Below are 27,193 nucleotides of genomic sequence, written 5' to 3' on the forward strand. Positions count from 1 at the left end.
CTTCTAGCATACCCGTTAACCCAAATAGTGAACGTGGTTCTCAATAGGTAACTTTTCATCCCTTACCCCCTTCCCAAACTCCACTTTTTTGGAGTTCCCAGTATCTGTTATTTCCATCTTTATGTCTGTCTGTACCCATTGTTTAGCTCCTACTTTATAAGCAAGAACACGCAGTATTTGATTTTTTGAGTTAGTTCACTGAGGATAATGGCCTTCAGCTCCATCCCTGCTGCTGCAAAAGACACGATTTCATTCTTTTTTATGGCTGCTATGTCTTTCTTTAATCCCTATATAGCTTGTGGCCTCACACCATTAATTAAATAAGCCATTCATTCTTGTCCTAATACCTTTGTAATATGTTAGACCCCTGTATGTAAGCAAGCAAGCCTGTTTGAGGGTGCCAAAATATGTTTTGTTCATCTTTCTTTTTTTCTTTTTTTTTTTTTTTGAGACAGAGTCTCATTCAGTTGCCAGGCTGGAGTGCAGTGGTGCAGTCTCTTCTCACTGCAACCTCCACCTCTTGGGTTCAAGTAATTCTTGCGCCTCAGCCTCCCGAGTAGCTGGAATTAGAGGCACGTACCACCAGACCCAACTAATTTTTGTAATTTTAGTAGAGACAGGGTTTTACCATGTTGACCAGGATGGTCTCGATCTCCTGACCTTGTGATCCACCTGCCTTGGCCTCTCACATCTTTTTTTCTATTTCATGAGGCAATATCATACTGTGGTAGTTATTGCAACTTTGTAGTGTACTTCATACCAATTGGTGTTCTTTCTTTCCTAAGTTTTCTTGATCATCCTTGTGCATTTGTTCTTCCAGATGGAACTTTGCCAAGTTGCAAGATTTTTAGTGAGGCTTTTAAATTTGAAAATAGTTTTATTCAATACATGGGCTAATTTGGAGATAATTTATGTTTTTACAGCATTGATTACCTGTTTATACACATAATATATGTTTTCACTTATTCAGACTTTCTTAAATGCTGTTCAGTAAAATTTTATGGTTTTGTTCATATAGGCCTTATGCTTTTTTAAGTTTGGAGATTGTATAGATTTTGTTGTTATTGTAAGTAAATTTTTTTCATCATTGTTAAATTATTTTGCATGTTCTAGGTAGACTTTTTAGTCCTATCTGTAAGTTACAATTTTTTCCTAAGCCAAAATCTGTTTCTCTTAATTTTATTACTCTAATTTTTGACCAAAGTCTCTAGAATAATTTCCAAATTGAAAATATTATAATATTTTTCTCAGTATAATTTGAATTATTCTAGTGTTTTACCATTAAGTATGGTGTTTGCTGTTTTGTTTTACATAGAAAATTGAGGACATTACTTTTTGTATCTAGTTTTCCTTTATTTCTAGAATTAGGAAAAATCAGGCCACCTTCCCTCAAGTCTCCATTTTGAACTTCTGCAGTGTCTAGGTTTCAGGAACAGGAATGGGGGATAGGAGTCCATATGTTACCATGCTGGTAAGGAAGGCTGTTTGCTCTACACCTAGCTGTGCTCTCTGCTTAGCACCCCACCTAGTACCTCAGCAGCCTAGAAGTTCTAGCCTTGACATTACAAGGAGGCCTGAATGGGCATGCCCCAGCCTTACCTAGGTAAGGAGCCACATTCTGCCTCTGCACATATCTGTACCAGTGATTACCTGGCTCTGACAGATGGCTCTTTCTCACAGGGTCTCTCATCATTAGTCATGCGGATGGTAGTTTAGACATTCTAGTGCATAATATGGAATAATAATAATTATACCTAACATATTAAATACTATGTGCCAGGCATTGTTCTATTTTATATGTAATCATCCTTTTAATCTTAAAAAAAAATCTCATGAGATAGGTATTATGAATACCATTTTACAGATGAGAAAACTAAGACAAAGAAGGGGCTTAATAACTTGCACAGGGTCACACAACCAAGTAGATATTGATTATGAATGCTCAGTAAATGATGCAAGGATGATAACGATTGGAGACAATTAGAAAGTGTACCTATTCAGAGTATTTGATTGTGGAAGGTTGGAAGTGAATAACATATCTGAGAAAATAAGCATCACTCCCCGACAATGTCAGGTAAATGAGGTCTTGACTTTGACTCCACAGAAATTTATCTAGCAGCCAAATTGGCTGTTAATTGAAAATGGATCTGGGAAGAGGGCGTCAAAGGCATAGAGAATAACAATTTATCACATAAAAAAAAAGGAGAAGGAAACCTTTCTAAATGGGATTCTCAAGCATGTATACATCTAAGGAAAATGATTTTAAAATGTTAATATTCCAGAGAAGAAATCAAGTTTTTGGTTTCTATATTTGTTTCTGAGGCTTCCAAGAGACTAGGATTCAGTATTTTCATTTGCCACATAGAATTAAAGGGGAATTGGACCCAGTTATGGGAAGGTAAATGGGAAAGAGTTATATTTCTGAAGCTGAAATTAAAGTGTGTTTGTTTTCGCTTTGATAGGAAAACAGAAATCATAGTTTTTCAGTAATCAGCACTTGTCAATTTTTCCTTTTGAGATGTGTATTTTTTTCCCACCACCATTTTTTAATCTCATGACTAAATATAATACAATAGCCTTTTAACTGGTCTCTTTGCTTCTTGTTTCTGTTTGTTTGTTTGTTTGTTTGTTTTTAAATTATCCATCCTGACCTGGTTGATAAGTGAAGTTAAGATGTCTATTGTATTATGACATATTCCTGGTTTAGAAACATTCTTGATGTTTACTTAACAGGTTTATTTAAAATTGGATGTATTTTTAGAGGCAAAATCTTTGTTTAAAGATTTTAAGCTTCATAACTTCTGTCTGCTTACTTTATTAATTGTTTTTATTTTTGTTTTTTGAGACAAGGTCTCACTCTGTCACCCAGGCTGGAAAGCAGTGGCACGATCATGGCTCACTGCAGCCTGGAGTTCCCAGGCTCAAGTGATCCTTCCGCACTTCAGCCTCCCAAGTAGCTGGGACCACAGGCACCTGCCACCATACCTAGCTAATTTTTTAATTTTTCATGGAGACTGGGTCTCCCTACGTTGTCCAGGCTAGTTTCAAATTCCTAGGCTCAAGCAATCCTCCCGTCTCAGCCTCTCGAATTGTGGGATTACCGGCCACACTGAGCCTCTGGGCCCAGCTGATCTGCTTAATTTGAATAAAGAGACGAACATACTAAAACCCAATTCTAGCTAAGGTAAGCAAAGAGAATATTCTAGAATGTCTGTAGTTATGTATGGAACCTACAGTAAGTTGGAAACTTGGTCTTGGAATTGGGCAGGAACAAAGCATCTTGGAGCCCAGGAAGCAGAAACTGTTAAGAGCTATCCTGCAGCAGGAGCAGTTGTGTTAGCTTCTCATCTGCTCGGATGGAATGGTCACAGGTCAGTTTCCGTATCTTTAGCCCTCTGCTCAAGATATCAATTCCAGAGAGGGAGCATCTGCTTGCTGTTGCTAGCCTTGCCTTCCTTACCTGCTCACCCTTGGTATCAGCAGCATTGATGGGTCTGTTTCTAGTTTGTAGTTGTTTTTTGTTAAATTTGACGTTATGAGCAATATAGATAGTTTTGGATTGTGCTTAAAAGCCAACCCATCCCTGACAATGGAAGGAAAAATAAAATTTTTCTCTCTCTTTCTCATTTGTAGGTAGAAACAATAAATTCATGAAAAAGCCTCTACTCTGTCTGATACCTCGCTGACATGTAGAATTTTGTGCTTCAGTATACTCCTTTTCAGTACTGAGTATTTCAAAGAACATCTGTATCTTACTTAGCAGCTGGTTTCTTCCCTCAACTAATTTCATTTTTCATGTCATTAATGGGTTTTGTGTATGTCCCCACCCTGTGGCACAGAACAGATATGAATATATATATTCATATAGATACATTATGAATCTATATGCATATGTAGATGCATATATATGTAAACACTGTAATGGTTTTATGTGGCATAATTTTTCAATTTTTCATTTTTCAGTCTGATACATCATGACTCCTGGATCTCTTTTCTCTAGCTTTCCTGTATTTCTGAGCCTAAGAAACATAAACATCATCTTAGTTTCTTGGTATTCATTAGGCCTGTGGGATGGAAGAAGTATTATAATGTAGAGTAAAAGCTCATCGTTTTATGTCATGGGACAAATTACCTTTGTTTCTCACCCTTCTAATCACAGTTGGGGAGTTATGGGAGATGCTGAACTGGAATTCTGATATTGGGCAGTGTGCTCTTCTCTGGGAAACTAGAAGTTGTTTTTCTGACAGGATGACATTTGGTTTCTGGGGACCATGTGTGTCTTCCCTTCACCCTGACTCTGATCTAAATACTGATTGAACATACTCTAGGCAGTAATGACTTGATATAAGAGATATACTACTTTCAGAGTTGTCTTCACAACTGTTTGCCCTTCTAAAATTATCTCCTATTTTTCTACTCCTATTTTGATGATTGAATGAGTGCTTTCCAAAGATGATAAATACAAGTTAAAAGCCAAAGTAGTAAACTTGTAAGTGTGAAGTCTGTGTTCCCTTTGTCCTGTAATCCTATTTCTTATAATTTGCCTAAAATTATAGTAAGTTGAAAAATGTATGCAGAAAGTTCATTTCAGCATTCACTATTTAGTGAAAATAGGAGAACAACCTAAATCTGTAGCAATAAAGTACCAAATTAGCAAATTATCTGTACACAAAAGAATATTATGCAGACATCAAAAATAATGCCATAGTTTTATGTTTATTGATTTGCCAGGATGTTTGTGATACAGAATAATGTCTGTGATGTATTATTAAATAAAAAGCAAATTGCAGAGCAGCATTTATATGTTCCCATTTGTGCAGGATTGTATACTTATTTCTGCATGTGTATTCATGGAGCACTGTCTGGGAAGTATGTTAAAACATTGATTATAGCTAGTGGCAGATTTGGAGATTTCTTTCCTTGCTAATTATTCATGCTTGGAACCAATACTATGATATTGAAATATATCTATCCCTTTTAGTGTTTTTTATACCATATTAATGTAATTTTTAAGAAATTTTAATATTTAACATTTGTGTTTAATAATTATGGCTCTTGGATCTCTTTTTTTAATTTTTATGTTACTGAGCCTGCAAAACATGAAGACCACAGTTGGTTTCTAATATTGACTCTGCCACATTTCAGTATCTTAGTATTTTAATTATGTCCTTAGCTTATGTCTTATTAGCACCTCTTCCTTAGCTTATGTATTTTCTAAGTATAGGAACTGCATTTGTTAAAGTTGATCTGTATATTACCTAGCATAGCATGTCTTGGAAGTAAACATTCTGTTTTTAATCCTTGAAAGTGAGATATATTCCCACTAATTTTGTAACAAATCATTTCCTACTCTATTTAGGTGTAGAGTTCGGTGCTCGAATGATAACTATTGATGGGAAACAGATAAAACTTCAGATATGGGATACGGTAAGTATAGGAAAAGTGCACTGTATGATCTCAGTAAAGTTACTTTATGAAAGTACATCGTATATTTGTTTTAATGTTATTATATGCCTGTTATGGTTTGTTAGACACTGACTTCCTGCAGCCATGAGATGAAATGTGGTGCTGGAGTAGACTGGTTTTTCTTATGCACTGTTTTCAATAGATGGGCCCTGGGTGTTGGTGTTAGTGAGCATATCTGAGTGAATGTTCACGTTATGTGGTCTAAATTGAAATGCTCTAGAAACTGTATTTTTAAGAAAAACAATCAGCATGTCTCAAGTACACATAGGAAGTAAAATAAGAATATCAATATTATACAATAACTTATTCTTCAGGCTTATTATTTTAAATGTTTTAGTCCTAACAACTTGAAGTCACGTTGCTCTTAATTCAGTATCCTAATTCTGTCATACCCTTGTTCATTGAGTACCTATTACATGTCATACAATATTGTTTTTAATGGTGATTCCTCATCTGAACCACAATATACAGAAAATGATTTGAGTGACTGTTTTCTCTATTCTCCCATCTTAGATGCATAAAAGTGAAGTTACTGTATTATATACATTGGGTGCCTTAAGGTAGCAATTTTCAAACCATTTTGTTTCAGAACTACTTTATACATTTAAAAATTAATGAAGACCCCCAAAGAGCTTTAGCTTATATGGCTTAAAGGTATTAATATTTACCATATTAGAAATTAAAAATGAGAAACTTACCAAATATTCAATCATTAATTCATTTTAAATTAATAAATTACTTGTTAGGGTAGATAATATAATTGTAATGGACACTGTATTTTTCCAAAACAAACAACTACATTTTTCTAGTGAGACTAGTGATATCTGTCTGCTTAATAGAAGACACTGGATTCTCATACCTGCTTCTGCACTGAGCCTTACGTATGTTGTTTAATTGAAGTATATTAAGAAAATCCAGCCTCACACAAATAGTTGGGAAATGGAGGACCACATGGACCCTTAAAGTCTGAGGAATTCCCAGGATTCTGGGATCACACTTTGAGAACCACTGCTTTAGGGCATTAGGAGATAATTCTTCACAGAACCCCAGTTGAGAAAACCTGAAAGGTCTCCTGTTGTGTCAAAGAACATATTCTCTAAACCAGCAAATGAGATAGAAAAGATGGGATTTAATCATCATATACCCGTGGCCTATTTTTCTCCAGTCACTCAGTCTTAGTTTCTCACTTGTCATGTGTAGTAGCCATTGAAAGAAGGAACCTTAGAGAACATCCGGTCTCACAGACTGGATTCCCTAGACCAAGCAAGTTGCTGAAGGCTGCTGTGGGACCTGGGTTTCCTGATACTTCCTATGTGTCACAGTTTTCCCTTAAATGATAACCGTACATCTCTGTCTTGCCTTGTCCTTGAATTGTCCACTCGACTCTGGGTTCTTGTGTTTTTTTGCCTCTTCTTCCTCAGTGAAGAGTCATACTTTTACTATTTCTCAAGGATTTCCCACATGAGCCTAAAGCATCTCAAAACATTTGATTTACATTCTCTCAGGCAGCATCTCAAAACTGCATGGAAAAGAGGAAAATAAAATACACAAAGTCCCTTTTTTCCTAGAGATTTAAAATTAATAATCTCCAACCAAAAAGAAACATTTTCTACTTCTGTATTAAAAGAGGTTCTCTCTTCTTGTTTTGGAGACAGGGTCTCACTCTGTCACCCAGGCTGTAGTGCAGTGGCACAATCATAGCTCGCTGCAGCCTCGAGCTCCTGGGCTCAAGCAGTCCTCCCACTTCAGTCTCCTGAATAGCTAGGACTACAGGCGTGCACCACCACACCCGGCTGAGTTACTGTCTCTTATTCAGAACTGATTTACGTAAACTAAGTTACTCTTTTTAGCTTATAACCTTGTGTAACACACATCTTTGCATTGTGTAGTGTGAACCAGACTACTGTTATTCTTCAATAAACATATTTTTCATTCCTTATACTTTTGCATAAATACTTGTATTGCTTGAAGTGCCGTTTTTTGTTTTCTTTTCCATTTAAGGCAACTAAGATGTCAGCTCTTTGGTGAAGCCTTTTTGACCCCCATCGGAATAACTTATTCTTCCTGTAATATTTTGTGCATATGTCTCCTGTAGTTCTGATCCCACTGTCATAGCTTTTTGTTTACATTATCTACCCTTCTCAGAATAAGCATTATGAGGGAAGGATCCACCTATATCTTATGCAGCTTTGTATCCTGCATTCTTAGCTTGGTGACTGATAATACAGTGTTTGGTAAATTTTACTGAATGAATGAATAGAGAATCTCATTCTGTCTAAGCAACTTGTAGGGTCACTGGATGTGTTCAGGAGATATCTACTAAAGTACATCGTTTTGAAAAGGAAAGGTTAATATAGTAATGATAATTATGTGATATTTTAGGCATAAACCACTTCATTGTCTGTAGGTTATTTTAGTTTATTCACTTGTTCTTCTATTCTTAAAGTAGTCCCTTAAATAATCTTTGTTTTTTGAAACTTGAGTAAGCCATTCATTTCCTAGTTGTCTGTTTTGTAGATTAACTCGTCATACATCATTTTGATAGAAGCCTGGTTTTTTGTGGGTTTTCTTGTTTTTGTTTTTGCTTGAGTTGATTTCTTTGCACAACAATAAACTTGCAAAAGAAATCTAAAATAATTTCTTATGCTGGACAGTATGAGAAAGGAAGAGAAGAAAAACCCTTGTTTGTGTTCCTCTAGGAGGGTAGAGGGCTCGTTTTCTTTCCTCTATTTCTGAGAGAGATGGTGGTCCGTTTAAAGACATCATAACATCCCAGAAAGAATTCGACCACTTCCAGCTTCTACATGGAGAGCTCCCAGACCCAATGGCCTGTTCCAGATTTAAAGGACTGTTTAAAATAGTTTAACTTATTTCTTTTGGAGGTTGTTTCTTGAGTCTTTGTCTTACAGGTTTTCCTCTTTTGTTTTTGTTTTTTTGGGGGTTTTTTTTTTTTTTTTTGGTTTTGAGACAGCGTCTTACTCTGTCGCCCAGGCTTGAGTGTAGTGGCATGATCACAGCTCACTGCAGCCTCAAACGCCTGGCCTCAAGCAATCCTCCCACGTCAGCCTCTTGAGTAGCTGGGACTACACATGCATGCCACCACATGCAGCTAATTTTCAAAATTTTTTGTAGAGATGGAGTCTTGTTATGTTTCCCAGGCTGGTCAGGCTTTTCTCTTATTTTCATTGACTTTCTTCTTACTTTCATACCCAACTTCCAAAACTTTTTAATAAATGTAACCTAATACACATTAAGATTGGTCTCACACTTAGTTTATATCTGAGTGAAACGGGATTTTCCATAGCATTAATGTTTTACAGTGTGTCTGTACATTTGGATAGCCGGTTGCATTTTTGGTAGCAAGGGTTATGTCTATTCATGACCCAAGATGTTTACAAAACCATCCTAGAGTCCTTCAAGGGAAAATTAGCCAAATGTTATTATTTGTTTTATCAGCCTTATAGAAATGAAGAGTTTTCTTAGTATCTTAGGATATTTGTCTTTTTTTTTTTTTTTTTTTTTGAGACGGTGTTTCACTCTTGCTGCCCAGGCTGTAGTGCAATGGTGCAATCTCAGCTCACCGCAACCTCCGCCTCCCGGGTTCAAGCGATTCTCTTGCCTCAGCCTCCCAAGTAGCTGGAATTACAGGCATGCACCACCACGCCCGGCTAATTTTGTATTTTTAGTAGAGACGGGGTTTCTCCATGTTGGTCAGGCTGGTCCCGAACTCCCGACCTCAGGTGATCCACGCCTCAGCCTCCCAAAGTGCTGGGATTATAGGTGTGAGCCACTGCACCTGGCCTACAGGATGTTTGTCATTTTTATCTTCAAAAAATTTAAGGAGTTTTCCTTGCAAGATTTTCACATCCACCACCTTTGCTTTCTTTTGCCAGTAGTGAGAATAGCTGCTAGCAGATACTCCTTGGAGGCATGAAGGCCATCAATCAGTTTCACAGCTGGAAACAGTGATAAGAGTCTATCAGTGCCTCCCTTTAAGCACTGACACTTGGCCCTTTACTGAGTTACTTTTCTTTCATTTATTAAAAGCCAAAGCCAAACTGTAAATATTCTTTTCTGCCAGGGGAAGTCAAAGAAGAAACATACGTTGCCCCTGGTTTCTGTTCATTGGCAGAAAAAAGGCAGAGGTATGTTCTCACTGTTAGACCCTGGCCAGCCATTACTGCCTTGTTCTGCTCTTGTTCTTTTTCTCTTACTTTTTCTCTTGCCTTCTATTCCTCTTTCAGTTGCCTTCCAGCATATCCAAATACATTTGATTTCCCAGCCCCTCCAAAAAAAATTGTAATATGGATGTTTTAGTTAAGTTCATTTATCCACTCAGCTTCCCTAGAAATATTCCTATTTTACATGTCTTATATCAAGTAAGTCAGTGAAACTTTTGACCAAATTGTGTGAAAACTAACATGCTAAAAGTTTCTTCTCAGCAAATCACAGGCATTTTTTTTCTCCTTTGAAAAACATGTTACTTTATACTCTTGACGTATTATTTCTAAAAATTGAATATTATTTTGTTTCAATGCATCAGTAAGGATGGATGACCAGATGCAGTGAGCCAGGGAGAGGACCTGGAACCCTGAGGGCTGAAAACAATACTGCCTCCCCACTTCTGCCTTTCCTCTCTGCTCCCATTACTGTCACTTCCTCCCTCTCCCCCACCATCCCTTAAGCTGGGAGTTGAGGGGCTTAGAGCTCCAACTGTTCTTCCTCCTTAGGCAGCAATTCATCAACATTTTTTTGAACAACTACAGGGACAGGAAACTGTCTTAGACATTTCATTGTACTTTAGTGATTACCTCCCACCTGTGGTCTCCAGTTTTTCTTACGTGGCAGCACTAAAAGAATCTGACATCGGTGATCATATCCTATTTTATCTTTTTTTTTTTCTTGTTTTTTGAGGCAGGATCTTGCCCTGTTGCCCAGGCTGGAGTGCAGTGGTGTGATCACAGCTCACCACAGCCTCCACCTCCCAGGCTCAAGTGATCCTCTCACCTCAGCTTCCCCAGTACCTGGGACTACAGGCACTCGCCACCACTCCCAGCTAATTTTTTTTTTTAATTTTGTAGAGATGGGATTTTGCCATGTTCCCAAGGCTGGTCAGAAACTCCTGGGCTCAAGCAATCTGCCCACCTTGGCCTCCCAAAGTGCTGGGATTACAGCGTGAGCCACTGCGCCCAGCTAAGCCTTTTTTCCAAAGTAAATATCCTCAAATTTTTTAAAGCATTCAACTTGTGCTGTTTTTTCTAGGTATTTCCACCCATTGTTACTTTTCTCAGGATCCCACAACTAACTAGTGCAGGTTGACTTTTTCACCACCCTTGCTGTGTACACTAAGACAGCCTAAAAATCACTTTGATTCTTACTGATCTTACTGTCACCTGGAATAGAAGTTTTGTACATGCATGTAGATTTCAAAATATTTCCTCTCAATTATAGCAGTTCCTTGATAGAGGTCTAAATTTTTTTTTTTTTTTGAGACGGAGTCTCGCTCTGTCGCCCAGGCTGGAGTGCAGTGGCGTGATCTCGGCTCACTGCAAGCTTCGCCTGCCGGGTTCACGCCACTTTCTCCTGCCTCAACCTCCTGAGTAGCTGGGACTACAGGTGCCCGCCACCACGCCCGGCTAATTTTTTTTTTTTTTTTTTTTTTTGGATTTTTAGTGGAGACGAGGTTTCACCAAGTTAGCCAGGATGATCTTGATCTCCTGACCTCGTGATCCACCCGCCTCAGCTTCCCAAAGTGCTGGGATTATAGGCGTGAGCCACCACACCCGGCCAAGGTCTAAATTTTTAAGTTGAGTCTTTTAAGTAAAGTACCTGAGATTTAATGCTTGGGCAAGGGACAGTTTATTTGGCTGTTTAGAAATCCTTCTTTCCTTCTTTTGGTTCTCATCTGTCTTCTACATAGCTGGAGCTGTTTGATAAATAACTAGCAATGCAAGTAAGAGAAGTATTACTGTAATACTGATTCTCACAAATCTTAATTTTCTCACTTTATTGGCTCTTTGGGATCAATCCAGGTAACATATTTGAGTGCCTACTATAAATATACTCTAGTACTCTGAGTTAAGCTATTCCTCAAGGATAACTGAAGAGGAAAAAAGATAAGCATTTGAGTAGTGTGTTCATTGTATCTAATCAATAGTATTAAAACCAAATGACCACATGAAAGTGCTTTTGGATTTGTGAGGAGAAAAGGATAACTATGGGCTGTGGTAGACAAGCTTTCCCAGCTTTGTGAAAGAATTAGGGGCTTGAGCTGGTCCTCAAAGGAAATGGAAATTGGATAGGTGGAGAGAGAAGAAAATAGTGTTTCAGGCAAGGAGTTAAGCAGAGGCACAAAAGCAGGAATTTTCAGACTATAGACAAGATATCAGTAGAAAAAAATGGACTTGTATGAGCAAGATTTTGAATAAGAAAAAATTCTTGTGAGACAAGTAGAGGTCTGATTCTCAAGAGCTTAGGACTTTAATTCAGGATATTTAGAGATTTTTGAACTACAGCTTAATATGTATAAAGTTATATTTTGTGGGAGTAGAAGAGGAAGAAGAGGTGAAGATTACTACTAGTTGCCAGCCTGGTTACTACAAATATTGCTATTCACCAAAAGACTCAGATGCATGGGAAAGCCAGTTTAAGGGATTCTTTATCTGGCAGTTACAAATAAGCTTTAAAATTATGGTGCAAAGGATCAATTTTGATTTAGCAATCCTCACATGAAAGATGAAGGTGTAAGACTTCTTTTGCACAAATGTTCCGTGACTTTAATATTAAGCATCACTAAAAATGAGCATGTTTTTATCTCTTAGGCAGACTTGTTCTGCTCTACTTTTTTGCATCTCTGAGTATTTTGTGAATGTTTTTTTGTTGTTTTGTTTTGTTTTTGTTTTGTTTTTGAGACAGAGTCCAGCTCTGTCACCCAGGCTAGAGTGCAGTGGCGCAATCTCAGCTCACTGCAGCCTCCGCCTCCTGGGTTCAAGTGATTCTCCTGCCTCAGCCTCCAGAATACCTGGGATTACAGGCACGTGCCACCACACCTGGCTAATTTTTGTATTTTTTGTAGAGACGGGGTTTCACCATGTTGGCCAGGCTGGTCTGGAACTCCTGACCTCAGGTGATCCATCCGCCTTGGCCTCCCAAAGTGCTGGGATTACAGGCGTGAGCCACCACACCCAGCTAATCCTGTGGATTTTTAAATTAATCCAACAGTTATATTGTGAGCCAAGAGAACTTACTGTCCACTCTGGCCACTCCACCCCAAGTTTGTTTTGTGGTGCTGTTCACTTAGGCAATCATTCCTGTTTGACTAAATGTGTTTTTCTTTACACTCTAAGCTAATATTAGGAATCTCTTACTATTAAATACAAAGAATTTTGTATCCTGTTTGGTTTCAAGCTTCCAAAATCCCTTTTAACCAACAGTTTATAGTGAAGAGGATCAAACACAACATTTATAATTCCTAAGTTAACTTTTTTTTTTTTGAGATGGAGTCTCACTCTGTCACCCAGGCTGGAGTGCGGTGGCGCAGTCTTGGCTCACTGCAAGCTCCTCCTCCCAGGTTCACGCCATTCTCCTGCCTCAGCTTCCCGAGTAGCTGGGACTACAGGTGCCCGCCACCAAGCCCGGCTAATTTTTTGCATTTTTAGTAGAGACAGGGTTTCACTGTGTTAGCCAGGATGGTCTCGATCTCTTGACTTCGTAATATGCCTGCCTTGGCCTCCCAAAGTGCTGGGATTACAGGCGTGAGCCACCGCGCCTGGCCCTAGGTTAACATTTTTGTTTCACTTAAAACAATATAGGTCAATCCGAGTTTGGATAGGTATATATTAAAGCACCTTTTTTTTTTTTTTTTGAGACAGTCTCACTCTGTTGCCCAGGCTGGAGTGCAATGGCATGATCTCGGCTCATTGTAACCTCCGCCTCCTGGCTTCAAGTGATTCTCCTGCCCCAGCCTCCCAAGTAGCTGAGATTACAGGTGTGCGCCACCACACCCGGCTAATTTTTGTATTTTTTAGTAGAGATGGGGTTTCACCAGTTGGTCAGGCTGGTCTCAAACGCCTGACCTCGTGATCTGCCTGTCTCGGCCTCCCAAAGTGCTGAGATTACAGGCGTGAGCCACTGCGACCAGCCTAAAGTGCTTTTTAAAAATCAAATTACTTTGCTTTAATATGTCAAGGTAGTTAACCTTTGGGCTAACTTTATGCAGTTAGTTGTTATATAACAGTTTATTTATAGTTAGAGAAGCCATAATAAAAAAAAAAACTTCACTGGGCAAGATTTATTTCAAGGCTACCAATACCATTATCAAAGAGAATAGGCCAGAGTTGTGATAGTTTTCAGATAAGTAAGGTCTCAAGAATTTGTAAACTATTCTGAACACTCATCTTTATTTATTATAAAGTAATCATAGATCTTAAGATGCATAGCTACAGTCATAGTCTTCAGTGGGAATTGTGTTTTTTTATTTGCTCGAGCTTTTGTTTAATTTTGTAGTGGGCAGAAGTCTAGATTCAAATGTATTGTGTAAGTTATTTCCATATTGGAACGTGTTTTGTTCTTTGCAAAACAGTTCAGAAGGAATGAGAATGGTTATAAAAGTTTGCTTTTCTCCTTTTCCTAAATTTATTTTGTCTTTTACTCTTTACTATCTCTTATCTAGGCTCTAAACTGGAAGTTGTGGATCTTATAGTAGTACTTTTCTAGCAATGTGTTCATTTTAATTCATCCCACAGAATGTCCCTGGAGAGATTGGTTTAAAGGACTTTTACCTTTGCTTGATGATCAGCCATGGGCAATATTAGAGCTATAAACCTGATTTTTATTTTGAACTAATAAAATATGTATCTTTTTTGTATTACAGTAGCTCTTCCTTATCCATGAGGAATAGATGCTAACACCCTCAGTAGATGCCTGAAATTGCAGATAGTGCTGAACTCTATATATACTAGTTTTTCGATCCCATAACAGAGACGGCTGCAGTTTAAGCATCCCTAATTTGAAAATCCCAAACTTTTTGAGCTTTCACATGACACTCAGAGGAGATGCTTTTTGGTGCATTTTGGATTTTAGTTTTCAGATTAGGGATGCTCAACTGATAAGTATAATGCAAATATTCTAAAATCAGAAACACTTCTGGTTCAAAGCATTTCAGAGAAGAAGTGCTCAACCTGTACTAAGTGACTACCAGGCAGGTAGTGTAGTGTATACAGTGAAGATAGGCTGGACAAAGGGATGATTCACATCCCCAGCAGGACGGAGCAGCAGGATAGTGGGAGACTTTTATCACACTACTCAGAATAGTGTACAATTTAAAACTTAGGAATTATTATTTCTGGACTTTTCCATTTAATATTTTCAGACTGCAGTTGACCACCAATAACTGAAACCTTAGAAAGCAAAACCTCAAATAAGGGGGAACTACTGTACCTAACACAGAATCCTTTCTTGGTACATAGGATTTACAGTGAAATTAATCCCTAAAGATCTAGTCCTTAGTTTTTCTGTGCTAAGCAGTTAAAGAAGATATTTCCTGCCATTGTGCCTTCAGAACAGTGAATTTGGCTGGGAACAGTGGCCCACACCTGTAACCCCAGCACTTTTACGAGACCGAGACAGGTTGATTGCTTAAAGCTCAGTAGTTTGAGACCACCCTGGGCAACATGGTGAAACCTGGTCTCTATAAAAAAATAAAAAATAATAAATTTTAAAAAACAATCAATTTAAAATAAAAACAAGGTATCTTCTAGTTTTTTGTTGTTTTTTGTTGTTGTTGTTTTTCTTTCTTTTTTTTTTTTTTTAAAGACACAGGGCCTCATCTGTTGCCCAGGCTGGAGTGCAGTGGTGTGATTGTAGCTCACTGTAGCCTTGAACTCCTGGGCTCAAGTGATCCTCCTGCTTCAGCCTCCCAAGTAGCTAGGACTGCACGGGTAAGCCACAACACCCAGCTAATTTTTAAAATTTTTTTTGTAGAGATGGGGTCTCGCCATGTTAGCCAGGCTGGTTTTGAACTCCTGGCCTCAAGCAATACTCCTGCCTCAGCCTCCCAAAGTGGCATGAGCCATTATACCCGGCTGTCTTCAGTTTAACCTAAGCTATGTAAAATGATTTGGCTATTTTTATAGCCCTTTTGTGTGATGGCTTTCTCACTGTCTAATTTAGCATGACATTATTCTAACTGCCAAAATTGCCTACCCAAGAGAGGGTCTAATTGTTATTTTCCACATAGGAGAAGTTATTTTCATTGAATCTCAGCACGTTAGGATTTACAGATGTCCACTCAGCTATGTGGGATGGAGTACTGATTATTTTACGCATATAACTAAGACATTAGGATTTCTTGTTTCACTTTTTTGTTGTTTTTTTGTTTTTGTTTTTGGAGACAAGGTGTTGCTCTGTTAGCAAGACTGAAGTACAGTGGTGCAATTACATCTCCCTGCAGCCTCCTCACCTGGGCTCAGATGATCCTCCTACCTCAGCCTCCCAAGTAGCTGGGGGCGTGCCACCACACTTGGCTAATTTTTATATTTTTGGTAGAGACGGGGTTTTGCCATGTTGCCCAGGCTGGTCTTAACCCATTTATGCAGGAAGTTGCAAATTTTTTGTGTGAAAAATCAGACCTTGGCAGTGACCTTGAGCAGTAGGATATAAATAACTCCCACAAGCTTAGCATTCCAATAATGGAACACTAGGCATAAATGGGTTAAAAACTCCCAGGCTCAAGCGATCCACCAGTCATGGCCTCCCAAAGTGCTGGGATTGCATGCGTGAGCCACCATGCCCAGCCTATTTTTCCACTTTTTCACTCAACAGGCTTTCTCTGAATGCCTGCTATATGCCGGACCCAGTGCCTAGCACACACTTAGTCACATGCAGGGGGTGGGGGATGGGGGAGGGAGGGAGTATAGAGGAAGGGTCAACAAGAGCAAGGTATTGTAGAGTGTTGAGTGTTAAACAGGGTAGAATATGAGCCGTCCATGCGCATTCTGAGGGTGGGAAGGGCTAAATATTTACATTGCAAGATCAGAACTCAGAATGTGTAAACATCAATATTTTTCAAGTTAGGGGATTTTGAATATAAAAATCGTTAAAATTGGCTTTACGTTTACTTAATTAAAATGCTTATGTTTTTGCAAAAGTAGGAAAAGAAGGGATTAAAAATGAAAAATAACTTCTTATAAGAGCTGTCTCGGTTTTAAACTCAGACAGAACAGTCACATTCCTCCCCAGCAATTCTTAAAAAAACAGAAATTAGTACCATGAGTAAAAGAGAAATTACCTAGCTTTGCATAATCTCTTGTGTCTGTTTCACAAGTGGATATAAAGATGACTTTTACATCCTGTTGCCTTTTGACAAGCATTATATATCAAATACAGAGAAAATTGATTAAGTGTGGAGAAAAAAACTTATATAAATTAAATTCAGAACCATTTTGCTTTTCATAATAAAATGATTGCTCAAAGAATTCCATTTGATGACTGTTGAAAGCTCACTGCAGTTTATGATATAACTGATAAAATCTGCATCCTTGGCCTTCCAACAACCTTTACACCAGCAGATGGTGGGCGTAAAGATGTCATTCATCATTTATTTACAATGGGTTTTATTTATTCTAGTGTCAACAGCTGCCCCAGGGAGTGGGTTATTGAATTCAAATGTGAGGCTCTGGGTTATTTGCTTCCTTTCAAATTTGTCTTCAGAGCTTAGTTGCTAGGAGTCCATTCTGTCCTTTAATAATGATTCGTGTATTGTGAAGCCATTCAGTAAATTGGGTTGTCAGGGATTGCCAAAAAGGGTTTAGAGGTCTTGCGGGCTGGGGAGGTTGCAGGAGCGACTACATGTGCACTACATGTGCGTCTCGTTGACTTGAGCAATCTTGAGCAATAGCGGTGTTTTGTAACTTTTTCCTAAGACTGGTGAAGTTAAGTTTTCTTGTCTCTCTTTATGCACTCCTTCCCTACCTGCTCTTATTCTGTATATGAATAATATGAAAATGTAGAGGACATTGTATTAAAGGAAACTCTCCAACCTTTTTTTTCGTTACAGGCAGGGCAAGAATCCTTTCGTTCCATCACAAGGTCGTATTACAGAGGTGCAGCAGGAGCTTTACTAGTTTACGATATTACACGGTGAGAACTTGAAAACTTTGCAATTCAGTAGTTGATACAGAGAATTTTTCTAAATAGATGTGGTTAACAGTAATGAAAGAATAGCTTAGCCTTTCTGCCCCGGCTACTCACCTTTAAAACTGCATCTTGAGTCCAATTTAAATTTACTACAGAAACCTGCAACTGAATTGTTTTTCTTATTTGAATTAGCACCTTCAAATTGAAATCGGCCATATTATTTATTCATTGGAATTTTCTAAAGTGTGATTACATTTAATTTATAAACTGAAATACAATCAGTGAACTCTAAACCCAGATATGGTGCTTAAAACTACTTCTCGTTACATAAGTGGATATGGCTAAAAGTGGTTCTCTTTAAAAATATGTATATTGTTCGTTGTATACTGAGGGAAATGCTTTGAACATAGTAATTAAATTATTATTTATGTTTAGGAGAGATACATTCAACCACTTGACAACCTGGTTAGAAGATGCCCGCCAGCATTCCAATTCCAACATGGTCATTATGCTTATTGGAAATAAAAGGTAAAAAGGCTAATTTAGAGCTTACATTGCATTAGTGATGAAGACTGTACTGTTTATTTGACTACTTTCCTTAACATTTGTTCAAATGTGAGTTACCAGCCTCTTAAATTATAAAATTTCGGAAATTCTAAGGTGTTTCTTTTGATTTTTAAAATGATGTTAATAAGCTTTGTTGGAAATTATTACTGTTATTATTAGAAATAGTTTTTGTGTAAAGAAATACTTTAAAAAGTAATCTGAAGGAGTTTTATCAGATTACTGATGTAAAGTAAAGCCTACTGATTTATTTGGGGAGTTGGATTGAACATCTTTGTGCTGTCAATTTAAAATGCTATTATATGGGAAAACCTTCTTGCTTGACCAGTTTCCATAAACTTCTAAGAGTGTGGGAAAGTTTTCACTAATTTTTGTAGAAACTTACAGTGGTAAGAAAATATTAGTATTTTCAAAATGCTAGGCACCATTCTTTTTGTTTTGTTTTGTTTTGTTTTGTTTTGTTTTGTTTTGTTTTGTTTGAGACAGGGACTCACTCTGTTACCCAGGCTAGAGTGCAGTGGTGTGATCATAGCTCACTGCAGCTTGGCCTCCCGGGCTCAAGGGAATCCTCCTGCCTCAGCCTCCAAAGTGGCTGAGACTGTAGGCATGCACAACCACAGCTAGTTTATCTTTTTATTTCTTATAAAGAAAGGGTCTCACTTTGTTGCCCAGGCTGGTCTCAGGCTCCTAACCTCAAGTGATTCTCCCACCTGGGCCTCCAAAAGTACTGGGATTATAGGCATAAGCCACCACACCCGGCCCATTCATTCTTTAGGGTTATATTAATAAAATACTCTGAAGAGATGCTGTTTTTAGATAGGTAAAATCATGACTTATATGATAATGAAGACATCTCAAAACTTTTATCTCATTAATTAACAAGATAAGGAAACTGGTAAGATATTTCAGCCAGTTCAAAAGGGAACTCAAATTACTATACATTGATAATCAAATAAAGAAACTGAAATGAATTTACAAGATGGATGCAAAACTGAACAGTATTCACAGGGTATTAATTGTATTCCACAGGACACAGTCTGCATTTCCATGGACAGGAATTATTTGCGTTTATTCCCACAAGTTAACTTCTCTCTCTGCAGTCTTTGAAAATGTGTGAGATGCAGTTAAAATAGTACTATCAAGAAAATTTTTAAATGAACAGCCTAGGGCCAGGTACAGTGGCTCACACCTGTGATCCCAACACTTTGGGAGGCCCAGGTGGAGGATTGCTTGATCCCAGGAGTTCAAGATCAGCCCGGGCAACACAGGGAGACTCCATCTCTACAACAAATTTTAAAATTTAGCTAGACATGATGGTGCATTCCTGTGATTCCAGCTACTCAGGAGGCTGAGGTGGGAGAATCACTTGAGCCCAGTTGAGGCTGCAGTGAACTGTGTTCATGCCACTGTACTCCAGCCTGAGCAACAAAGCAAGACCTTGTCTCAAAAAAAAAAAGAAAATAGCCTAATTTTTTTGCCTTAAGAAACTAGAATAAGAGCAAATCAAAGTTAAGGAAAGCCTCCTGCCCGTTAAAAAAAAAAGAGAGAGAGAAAACCAATGAAACCAAAAGCTAATTCTTCAGAAGATAAAATAAAATAGATACTGATCAGGAAAAAGACAAACATTAGCAATATCAGGAAAGAAAGGTTGACATCACTATAGATAAAAAAAAGAGAGAGAATATTGTAAACAGACTAAATAAATGAAGAGATATAACCATGTTCATGGATTGTAAAACTAAATATAAGATGTCTTCTCAAATTTATCTAAAAATTCATTGAAGGCCAGGTACAATGGCTCACATCTGTAATCCCAGCACTTTGGGAGGCCAAGGCAGGAGCATCACATGAGGCAAGGAGTTCAAGACCAGCCTGAGAATGTAGCAAGACCCTATCTCTACAAAAAATAAAATAATAATTAAAAAAAACTAGCTAGGCATGCTGGCACACGCCTTTAGCTCTACTTACTCAGGAAGCAGAGGTGAGAGGATCACTTGAATCCAGGAGCTCAAGGTTGCAGTGAGCTATGATTGTGCCACCTGCACTCCAGCCTGGGCAAAAGAGCAAGACTCTGTCTCCAAGAAAAAAAAAAAAAAAAAAAGATTTATTGTAACCCTAATCAAACTATCAAACATTGGCAGACTTTTTTGGGAGGGTAGATATTGACAAGCTGACTTTAAAGTTTATGTGCAAAGGCCACGGAATAGCCAAATCAACTTTGACAAAGAGGCACAATATTGGAGAGAATTTACTATTCTACAAATTTTAAGATTTATTATACTATAGTCAATTTACTATTGTTTGGCATAAGCAGACATAGATCAGTAGAGCCGAATAAGAAGTTCCAGAAGTAGATTCATATATATATGATATATTAATTTTTTGACAGAGATGCTAATTTAGTTGAAGAAGGGGTAATCTTTTTCATCAAATGGTGCTGAAACAGTTAATAGTCATATGTAAAAATATGAACCTCAACTGTTACATTATACCATTTACAAAAATTAACTGGAAGTGGATCATAGACCTAAGTGTGAGAGCTAAAACTACTTAAAATTTCTAAAAGAAAACAAATTGTAGTGACCCTGTTTTGGCAAACATTTCTTAAATGGGACAGAGAAAAGCATGAACTTATAGTTCAGAAAAAAAATCAATAAATTGTTCTTTAACTGAATTTAAAACTTTTGTTCTTCAAAAGACGGTTACACTATTATACAACATCGTGACATGGTTAATGATGATATAGTGCATTCTGGAAAAATGCTGAAAGAGTGGATGTTAAGTGTTCTCACCACAAAAAACGATAACTGTGAGATAATGCAAATTAGCTAGATTAACCATTCCACAGTGTATATATACTTTAAAACAATATGTTGTACATGATAAATATATGCAATTTTACCTATCAATTTAAATAAATAAATTTGAAGAAAAACGGTTACAAAAATGAAAAGACAAGCTACAGACTAGCAGAAAATATTTGTGAAAAATGTATCTGACAAAGGATTTATATCTAGAATATATGAAGAATGCTTATAATTCATTAATAAGAAGACATCCACTTTTTAAAAATGATCTAAAGATTTGAACCAGCAATTACTACAGAAGATATACTACTGATGGGAACGTAAAATGATACAATCACTTTGGAAAACAATTTGGTAGTTTCTTTAGAAATTAAAAGGCCGAGGCGGGAGGATTGCTTCAGCCTAGGAGTTTGAGACCAGCCTGGGCAATGTAGGGAGACTTCTTCTATACAAAAATAAGAAATTTTTTAAAAAAGTAGCTGAACATGGTGGTACATACTTGTAGTCCCAGCTACTCCAGAGGCTGAGGTGGTAGGATCACTTAAGCCTGAGAGGTCAAGGCTGCAGTGAGCCATGATCATGCCACTGTATTCCAGCCTAGGCCACAGAGCAAGACCCTGTCTCAAAAAAAAGAAATAAAGCACACATCTATATTTCCTAGCCACTTTACTCCCAGATGTTTACCCAACATAAATATGTCTTCATGTGTCCACAGAATTATGTACAAATATTCATACCAGCTTTATTTCTAATAGCCCCAAACTGGAAACAACCCAAATATCAATTAACAGATGAATCGAAAAATAGTGATACAGCATTACAACAGACTACAACTCAGCTATAAAGAGGAATGAACTATTGATACATGCAGCAAAATGGATGATTCTCAAAATAATTACAGAGTGAAAAAACTCAGACCAAAAATACCATGTGATTACATTTATATAAAAATCCTAGTAAATGTGTACTAATCTGTAGTGGCAGAAAGCAGATCATCAGCTGCCTAGGGTGCAGGGGCAAGAAGGGATGGATTACAATGGAGTATGAGGAAACTTTTGGGAGACTGATGGCTTCACGGGCTTACATATCTTAAAACTCAACAAATTTTGCATTTAAGTACAACTTCTTTTATGTCTGTTACACCTCAAAAAAGCTATAATGTAAAACATCGTTATACTGTATAGATTTTAGAGTGTTGTTTTAATAGAAATTGAGATTTGCTATTAAGAGAAAATATTACCTAAGTGATATTTACATTATAAAAAGCTAAACATTGTTTACTTCTTTGTGTAGAGAAGAAACTATTATCATATTCTCTGAAGGCCTTTCTTGGGTATTCTTTTCCACATTTAAATCATCTCACTAAACCTTTTTAAGGTTATAAAGCTATTGGAGGGAAGTTTTAGTCTTTCTATGATGGAAATAGTTATTCTGTCATTCAAGGTATGAAATAATAAGAGGAGAATACTTGGAAAATAAAGAGAATTTTTATCCTTTTATTTTACCAATTTTTTCCTTGTGGCTGAAACATGATGAGTGACAGCTTACTGGTGGCTTAAATTTGGTCACCGACCACTAGGAGCTGATAGTTCAAATGTGAGAAGAAATAAACAAAGCATAGTATGTAAACGAGATGTTTCTGATGATCGTAGGTGGGTGACCTTTAAAATCAGGAGTATAACGAACAAGAAAGAACAGAGAGAAATAAATGAGATGATTATTTTTAGATGAATTGAACTGTGGATAGACATCAAAACAGGGAATAAGCAATTTTTGAATTAGACGCATTAAGCAGTAGGGAGCCAGTGAAGGGCAGTGACCTAGTCAGAGCAACAGATGACACAAATTTTTCTTACTATGGCATTTTATTAATAAATTGGTTATATAAGAAATAGGAAGCAGAGATTTAAAAAATGAAAGTTTTTTAATAGTGTAAGGGTTGTAATGCAAACCCTAAACAAAAAGGGGCCATAAATTAAAAGAAAGATACTTAAGTAACCTAAGCAACTTAAGTGGGATTCAGAGGGAGTGAACTAAGACAACAATATGATGTAATGCCTGGAAAACTGAGGTATTTTTAAAACTTTGCACTAAGTATATCGTCAAGTACTATGGCTTTTGAGTTTTTTGATTTGACCTATAGTAAGAAATGTATTTTACATCATGACCTAGTAAATAAATTGTGTATACACCTACACATATAACAAAATATTCGTAAATTATACCTTTATACGTAAGTTCCATGAAACAGTAGATGGAACTTATGTATATAGGTGATAGACTCTGATATTTTATATTGTTTCTTTTTTTTTTCCCTTCCCAAGATGGAGTCTCACTCTGTCGCCCAGGCTGGAGTGCAGTGGCGCGATCTCTGCTCACTGCAACCTCCGCCTCCCAGGTTCAAGCAATTCTCCCGCCTCAGTCTCCTGAGTAGCTGGGATTACAGGCACCCACCATCATACCCAGCTAATTTTTGTATTTTTGTAGAGACGGGGTTTCACCATGTTGGCCAGGCTGGTCTTGAACTCCTAACCTGAGGTGATCCACCCGCCTTGCCTCCCAAAGTGCCGTAATTACAGGTGTGAGCCACCGCACCCGGCCTATTGTTTCTTTTTTTAAAAAAAAATTCTGATTATTTCCTACTGAGTGATTTTTACAATTCATTGAGTCATGACACAGTTTGAAAAATCCTACCCAGGCTTAACGCAGTGTCTCAGTCCTGTAGTCCTAGCAATTGGGAAGGCCAAAGTGGGAGGATCACTTGAGTCCTGGAGTTCAAGACCAGCGTGAGCAACATAGTGAGACTTTGTCTCTGAAAAAATTAAAAAAAAAAAACTGCCCTGGAAAAGCCTTGGCACGTGTATACACAAATATATATATATATTTTATATATATATGTAAAATACATATATTTTAATATATGTATTTTATATATATATAATACATATATATATAATGCTTATTGTAACATTGTTTGTAATAATGAAAAATTATAAATAACTTTGCCTTATAGAGAATTTAAGTTGTATTGCATTCATTCAGTAGACTGTAATTCACCAGTTTAAAAACAAACTAGATCTGCATGTATTATATGGATAAATTTGAAAAACATAGTGTTGACCAAAGTTAACAAGTTGTAAAACAGTAGCTACATCTGAATTTTTAAAGACATGAAAAAGAAATACTATTTATGGTTATAAACATGAGGATAAATGCAAAAACATGCATGAGAATGAAAACACCAAATTTAGGTAGTGGTTACCTTTAGGGTAAGAGGGAGGAGAGTGGGATCAGAGACACACAGGTGGTGATTCTGCTGTTGCTGATTTTATTTCTTAAAGGGAAAGAAACCTGAAATCTGGCAAATAATATGTCAAGGCTAGCTGGAAGTATGTGGACATTATATTATACATCTTTTTTCATGTATAAACATGTAATAATAAATAATATATAAAAAGTAATAAATATAATAATAAAGTTTTTTAACTTTAAAAATAAAACACGCTTTAAAAGCAACTGCTACCTCCCCTCCCCCCCACTAATAAAATTCTAGTATGATAAAAATGAATACCCTGCTTTCATTGGAAATTTCTAGCTTACACTTTCTCTCTCACTCCGTTTCTCCTTTTCTGTCTCTCTCTACTCCTTCTCCCTCCCTCCCTCCCTCTCTCTCTCTGTCTATATCAATTTTGCTTTAAGAGGAAACTGGGAATTAAACAAACTGGGATCAATGATGTAATGTATCTTTAGTACTTTGGATTTTCTAAACAATTTCCTGTAGTTTCTGAGAGTTGTATTTTAATCACATTCATAGAAACTCAGTCAGTCTGGCCAATGGAGGAGAATAGTATAGTCCTGCTCTTTCAAATTATGTTAAGCAAAATGGCTTTCTTCTCTGGGAATGCACTGTACTCAAAGATATAAGGTATTAGACTAGAGGCTCCCTTAAGTTACGGCTAGTTCTAACGTTCTAAAGCTCTAACACAGAATCTTTCTTCTGTTGGATTGTTAGTTCTTTGAAACTAGACAGTGTGTTCTAAATACTAACCCTCATAATACCCTGAATAATACAGTTAGTATGTTAAAAATTAATTAAAAGAATGGTCATCACAACTTTGAATTCCATGGTACACTTTCCACAAATGCTTCTGTTTGTACCATGTTGATTAGTAATGTGACCCTTTCTTTCCCATGTTTAGTGATTTAGAATCTAGAAGAGAAGTAAAAAAAGAAGAAGGTGAAGCTTTTGCACGAGAACATGGACTCATCTTCATGGAAACGTCTGCTAAGACTGCTTCCAATGTAGAAGAGGTAAATAAGAGGCCCTTTAAAATCTTCATCTTTATACTTAATAGAAATGTTTTATATATCTTCATTTTACTTATTATTTAAGTTTTTAGTCGGATGGTCTTTGAACATCATAAAGTAGGAAAGTTTCTTCCCTTTGAAATCCCTTGTAACATTCACCTTCTGTCAGACTCTTAAATCATATTGAGCCTTCTAAAGCCTGAATGTTTTCTTACATTTTTGTACGTATTTTCACTCCCTCCCTTTTTCTAAACAATTTCCTATAGTTTCTGAGAGTTATATTTTAATCACATTCATAGAAAGTCAGTCTGGCCAATGGAGGAGAATAGTGTAGTCCTATTCTTTCAAATTATGTTGAGCAAAATGGCTTCTCTGGGAACCCACTGTACTCAAAGATATAAGGTATTGGACTTCTTCGTGTTGCATGGTAGGGAAATCTTTTTTGTGTTGCATGGGAGGGAAACAAGGAACCACACTAATGAAATTTGGAAATGTTTCAAGACAGCAGAACGTTTGTAGCTATTTATATCCACTTCTGCTTATTTTTTTAATTTTATTTATTTTTTTAACTGTCAATATATTACCACATCACCACTTCTGCTTAAAGTATTCTATTATTGCTGTGTAACATTTTACAAAGCATGAGAATTCTGTTTCATCTATTGATGAAATTTGTATTATTTCAGTTATTTCCATTGATGAACCTGAACTATTGGAACTTTTCTGAACACAGTGTATTCTTTTATGCTCTATGTGTTTGTGTTTGGAGGTAGTATGTATATACATATTATAAATAGATGATTACGTAGTTGATCCTTTCTAAGGTAAATGTATTACTATACTGTTATTTTATAAAAAGAGGTAATGAAGCTAAGAAAAGTAGTAGTTTATCCAAAGTAATACTTAGTTCCCGATTTCTAGATAAGAACAGCTTATAAGAGCAACTACAGAAAGTAGTTCTAAAAAACAAATGAGTTAAGAATCACTGCCGTAAGGATAACAGAGGTCAGGGTCCTGGGCAACAGCTAGCATGTGCCTTCAATGTAGTAAGCAGTCAGTAAATATTTATTAAGAATGATACTTGGAGCTCTTCTGATTAACCCTTGAACCTAAAAATTGACTACAGTAATTCTACAGCATTGGTATTTTCACCGAAGAATTCTTTCTTAGGTAAAATATTATACAGTCATGTGTTGCTTGACAAAGGAGATACATTCTGAGAAATATGTCACCAGGTGATTTCATCGTCACGTGACCATCATAGAGTGTACTTACATAAGCCTAGATGGCATAGCCTACTACTGCACCTACTACACACTTCCCTTAGTAGACCTTGGTGCCAGAGGAATGACACAGTGATGATTTCCCTTGGTTTTCTTTTTGCCACATACCCGAGACTGGGTGCTAGAGAAACAGGCAACCTAGAAAGGTCAACAGGCACAGAAAAAGAAAGTCTTCTAGCCAGAGAACCAGGAAATAGGCAGGTCAGAACAGTGTTCGCAAGCCAGAACACTCTTAGAAAGTAACCATTCTACTGTAGCCAAACATCACAGAAAAAATTGTGGCTCTGCTTCCACAATCCCCAGGCAGTAATGAAGTAGCACCCTACCACCACCATTTCCCTTGTTGGAGTGGAGTGAGAGGAAGCCAACTAAACAGTGGTTTAAATAAGACCCAGAGTCTCATAACATAGTATCTAAAATACCCATGTTTCAATAGAAAATCATTCATCATACCTAGAACCAGGAAGATCTTAAATTGAATGAAAAAAAGATAATAGGTGCCAACAGTGAAATGACAGTGGTGTTTGAATTATCTTACAAAGATTTTAATGCAGCAATCATTAAAATGCCTCAACAAACAAGGAACATGCTTGAAACAGAAGAGTCTTAGCAAACAAACAATCTGAGCAA

The 27,193-nt window shown here is 37.1% G+C and overlaps 1 protein-coding gene across 2 annotated transcripts in view; it reads left to right on the forward strand.

Annotated features, from left to right (window-relative positions):
• RAB2A (RAB2A, member RAS oncogene family) overlaps positions 1-27,193 on the forward strand; it is a 106,735-nt gene that overhangs the window by 49,777 nt on the left and 29,765 nt on the right. For both annotated transcript variants that reach the window (NM_001242644.1, NM_002865.3), the window contains 4 exons: positions 5,360-5,427; positions 17,522-17,604; positions 18,037-18,129; positions 25,172-25,283. In NM_001242644.1, coding sequence (NP_001229573.1) covers positions 5,360-5,427; positions 17,522-17,604; positions 18,037-18,129; positions 25,172-25,283 — 356 coding nt within the window. The remainder of the gene's footprint in view (positions 1-5,359; positions 5,428-17,521; positions 17,605-18,036; positions 18,130-25,171; positions 25,284-27,193) is intronic.

Source organism: Homo sapiens, chromosome 8, assembly GCF_000001405.40.
Source record: "Homo sapiens chromosome 8, GRCh38.p14 Primary Assembly".
NCBI classification, from domain to species: domain Eukaryota; kingdom Metazoa; phylum Chordata; class Mammalia; order Primates; family Hominidae; genus Homo; species Homo sapiens.